The sequence below is a fragment of the Homo sapiens genome, chromosome 19 (genome assembly GCF_000001405.40).
Source record: "Homo sapiens chromosome 19, GRCh38.p14 Primary Assembly".
Lineage (NCBI taxonomy): Eukaryota > Metazoa > Chordata > Mammalia > Primates > Hominidae > Homo > Homo sapiens.
In genome coordinates this window covers 7,055,317-7,059,732 of record NC_000019.10, presented here as the reverse complement: position 1 = coordinate 7,059,732, position 4,416 = coordinate 7,055,317, and the positions used below count along the sequence as shown (strand labels likewise).

The following is a 4,416-nucleotide window of genomic DNA, read 5'->3' as shown; positions in this document are numbered from 1 at the left end:
CAGAAACAGCTAAAAAGAGAATTAAAAGTGTTCTAAAGTATTAGCATTTTGTGGGAGGGGTTAAAGTAATTAATTGTATCAGAGTATATGATTTAATTATTAGCATAACTACACAGATTTGTATGGCTGTAACTAGCAAGTTCATGGAGATAACAATAAAATAATAAACATATTTAATTCAAAGTCAGTCAAGTAAAGGCAAAAGGAACGTGAGTCAGTTAAGTCAAAACCTAGGAAAAATGAGATGATTGAAACAATTTCAAATTTACTGGTAATTATATTAAATGTAAATGCACGAAATAGAACTTTTTTTTTTTTTTTTTTTTGAGATGGAGTCTCACTCTGTCGCCCATGCTGAGCTGCAGTGGTGCGATCTCGGCTCACCGCAACCTCTCCCTCCCAGGTTCAAGCGATTCTCCTGCCTCAGCCTCCCGAGTAGCTGGGATTACAGGTGCATGCCACCACACCAGGGTAAGTTTTGTATTTTTAGTAGAAATGGGGTTTCACCATGTTGGCCAGGCTGGTCTCGAACTCTTGACCTCAGGTGATCTACCTGCCTTGGTCTCCCAAAGTGCTGGGATTATAGGCGTAAGCCACCTCTCCCGGCCAAAGTAGTAATTTCTTTGCAACAACTGTGTGATATATTCTATAGGATTGTGAATAAAAGTTTTGGGCTTTCTTTTCTTAAAGAACATTTAAATGGTCTTTAGTTGTTGTTATTAAATCAAATATTACGTGAACATTTATGTACATAGACAATTCCATTCCTATTTCTATAGAAAGTATTCAAAGATGTTTGGAAAACTGGGAGAAAAAGGGAAACATATCTAAAATGCTGATATTAACTGTAAATACCACCCCGCCACACACACATACACACGTATTCAATTCTTTCTCTACTAACACTCTGTGTAGGTAACACCACATTGGTTTCTGTATAAAGATTTAGAAATGCCTCAAATCCAATGGGCGGAGACAGGGTGTTCCCTGTGGATTATCCACTGATTGCATTATCACTCGCTTTCTCTATAAAAAGGGGAACCAGATGCAGAAGTCACTGCATTTTCCGGCAAGCCAAGGGTTGTCTGCATCTCAAGAGTGGGGTCAGCAAGAGAAACTCTACGGCTATGGGAGAGCCTGCGTTCACCTCTTTTCCGAGCCCACCTGTTCTGGTGAGTACGGGATATTTATTGATTACAGGAATGTCCATATGTGTCCTTTTTCCTTCTGTAAGACAGCTTTACAGTTAGCAGTGGGTTGTTCTTAAAACTGGATGTTGTGGAAAGTTATACCTCAGGTGGTAATATCTGTTGAATAATGTTCAAAGTATTCTCATTTTTGCCCATGAAACTGTATGGGGATAATAGCTTTGAATTTTTTTTTAAAAATCCAACATCACTAGGAAAGGGAAGAAGTATGATTTGGCCTTGCAGTCTTCAAATTGTCTCCTTCTCTGGAAAGCTCCTGAACCAGAAATTGCTTGGTCCGTTTTTTTAAAAAAACAAAAAACAAAAAAAATTAGTTCTCTGGTAAAATTTCATGATGAGTTGCTTATTCCCTAAACTCACTGTCACGATTCATTGTAGTGAATTTCTTTTCTGTTTCTCTGTTTCTCCTCCTTCCATCCCTCTCTGTCACTCCCTTCTTCTTCATCATGGAACTTACTTATATCTGATATTCCACCAGAAATTTGTTTTTAGTGCGTTTATTATGTCTTCCTTCTCACCAAGATGAAAATCAACAGAGTGGTGATTTATGAAGTTTACTTCTGGATCAGGGGTTCTACTGCACAGCTTGGCACATCATAAGTGCCCCGTAACTAAGGGGACTAAATAATTTTCCCTCCAAAGGGGAACATCTTGGGTCAGTATTAATCTTTATGCCAGGGGTACTGTAAGGGGTAGTATTAATCTTTATGCCAGGACAACGAAAAATGAAATGAGGAGGACAGAAACAAAGGCTTTAAAATGGAAAGTGCACTGATGAGGTTTGTGGGGGAAACAGCTTTATGAGACTAGAGTCTTCCAATTGAGTTAGAGCAAGAAAGGACGTCAAATCTTAGGAGGCGCTTGATCATCTTTCTCAGTATGTCATCAAAAGATTCTCTCATGGTATACCTCTAGTTAATTGAGCTTATTAGAAACAGAAAGCAACATGGTGTTTCTGAGGTTTTTCTTCATGAGCAGGAGGTGTTCAGGTGAAGGTGGGATCTGGGTGTGGCAGTGAGTATTTAAGGTGGCGAGTGCAGGATTTCTTTGGAAACCAGAGAGTCAAGGAGCTATGAAAATGACGTTGTGTCCTGAAGCACAGCAGAAAGAGATACAGAGAAGCGTGAGGTCTTGGTGAACAGGGAAGTCTGGGATCCCGGTGTCCTGTTGGGGATGGGTTAGGAGGCACCACCAGCATCTGTGTAGCTGACAGTGGCAGGGAAGAGAAGAGAGGGGTGTCCTCTGAGGAGGATGAGGAGGGACAAGGTCTGGAACTGACCCTGGGTCATGACCTTGAGCATTTAGTCCTTGACTCGCATCAGCCCGATGAGGTCCCAGGACCCAGTGTCAATGCCTGGAGCTCCTGCCAGCAGCATCAGGGTCACACGGAGAAATGCAGACTCTAGGGTCCACCCCAGACTTACTTGGGTTCAGGTCCACATATCTGACTTTAGCAAGCCCTGCAGGGGCTGAGGATGTACACTGCCATTTGAGACACATTTCCCCAGAAAGAGAGGCTGGTGGGAAGATTCCACTGAGCTGAGAGAAGCCCCCCACAGCTGATCTTCTCCTGTCTCCAATTGGTTGAAATTTCACATTTTCTTTTCTTTTCTTTTGAAAGGGGAAGCTCAAAAGAAACATGATGCCCTGGGCTTTACAGAAGAAACGAGAAATCCACATGGCCAAGGCCCATCGGAGACGAGCTGCGAGGTCTGCTCTCCCCATGAGACTCACCAGCTGCATCTTCCGGAGGCCGGTGACAAGGATCAGGTCTCATCCTGACAACCAGGTCAGACGCAGAAAAGGGGACGAGCACCTGGAGAAGCCGCAGCAACTCTGCGCCTACCGGAGACTGCAGGCCCTGCAGCCCTGCAGCAGCCAAGGAGAAGGTTCAAGTCCACTGCATTTGGAGAGCGTCTTAAGTATCCTTGCACCGGGGACGGCCGGTGAATCTCTGGACAGGGCTGGTGCTGAGCGTGTGCGCAGCCCGCTTGAGCCCACCCCTGGGCGGTTTCCAGCTGTGGCAGGGGGGCCAACCCCAGGAATGGGTTGTCAGCTCCCACCGCCCCTCTCTGGCCAATTGGTGACTCCTGCAGATATCCGGAGACAGGCCAGGAGGGTGAAGAAAGCCAGGGAGAGACTGGCCAAGGCCTTGCAGGCAGACAGGCTGGCCAGGCAGGCAGAAATGCTGACATGTAGATGAAGCGCAGTCCTGGGCTTTCGGTCCCTTTCTTTTAATGCCCATCCTCATTCCTACTCTGAATTGTCACACTTTTCCCTTCCCCACCAGTTCTTTAATAAAAGTATTTGAAAGGCAACAGGTGTAAGGAGTGGATGGTTTTGTGGTGAGAAATTGGGTTTTATGGGATGAGGAAGGAGACCTTTACATGTCACTGTACATCTCAGTTTCTGTTTACCATGATTTTAATTAATTGTTTTTTTTGTTTGTTTGTTTGTTTTGAGACGGAGTCTTGCTCTGTTGCCCAGGCTGGAGTGCAATGGCGCGATCTCGGCTCACTGCAACCTCCACCTCCCGGGTTCAAGTGATTCTCCTGCCTCAGCGTCCCGAGTAGCTGGGATTACAGGTGCCCACCACCATGCCCGGATATTTTTTGTATTTTTAGTTGAGATGGGGTTTCACCATGCTGGCCAGGCTGGTCTTGAACTGCTGACCTCAGCAATCTGCCCACCTCGGCCTTCCAAAGTACTGGGATTACAGGCATAAGCCACGTTGCCTGGCCGTTAATTAGTTTTTGTATTAAATTCTAATTTAATCTTTGGCCTGGCGCTGTGGCTTATGCCTGTAGTCCCAGCACTTTGGGAGGCGGAGCAGGGCAGATCGTCTGAGGTCAGGAGTTCAGGACCAGCCTGGCCAATATGGCGAAACCCCATCTCTACTAAAAATAACTAATCAGGTGTGGGGGCGGATGCCTGTAATCCCAGCTACTGGAGAGGCTGAGGCAAGAGAATCGGTTGAACCAAGGAGGCAGAGGTTGCAGTGAGCCAAAATGGTGCCACTGTACTCCAGCCTTGGTGAAACTTTGTCTCAAAACAAAAATTCCAATTTAATTTTCAAATGAAATCCTTTAAAAATGAAATGAAATTCTGTAATTTTAAATGAAACGAATACATTACATTATAATTTGTTAAAAATGTATTACATTTTCATTTTTAAATTGAGTTTTCATTGTTTGAAATTTTCGAATTA

At 44.5% G+C, this 4,416-nt stretch overlaps 1 protein-coding gene across 1 annotated transcript; it reads left to right on the top strand.

The window, feature by feature from the left end:
* Window positions 1-1,056: 1,056 nt before the first annotated feature.
* MBD3L3 (methyl-CpG binding domain protein 3 like 3) lies at window positions 1,057-3,526 on the top strand. Its single transcript, NM_001164425.4, has 2 exons — window positions 1,057-1,172; window positions 2,830-3,526. The coding sequence occupies exons 1-2, from the start codon at window positions 1,128-1,130 to the stop codon at window positions 3,409-3,411; spliced, it is 627 nt and encodes a 208-aa protein (NP_001157897.1). The 5' UTR covers window positions 1,057-1,127; the 3' UTR covers window positions 3,412-3,526.
* The last annotated feature ends 890 nt before the right edge of the window (window positions 3,527-4,416 follow it).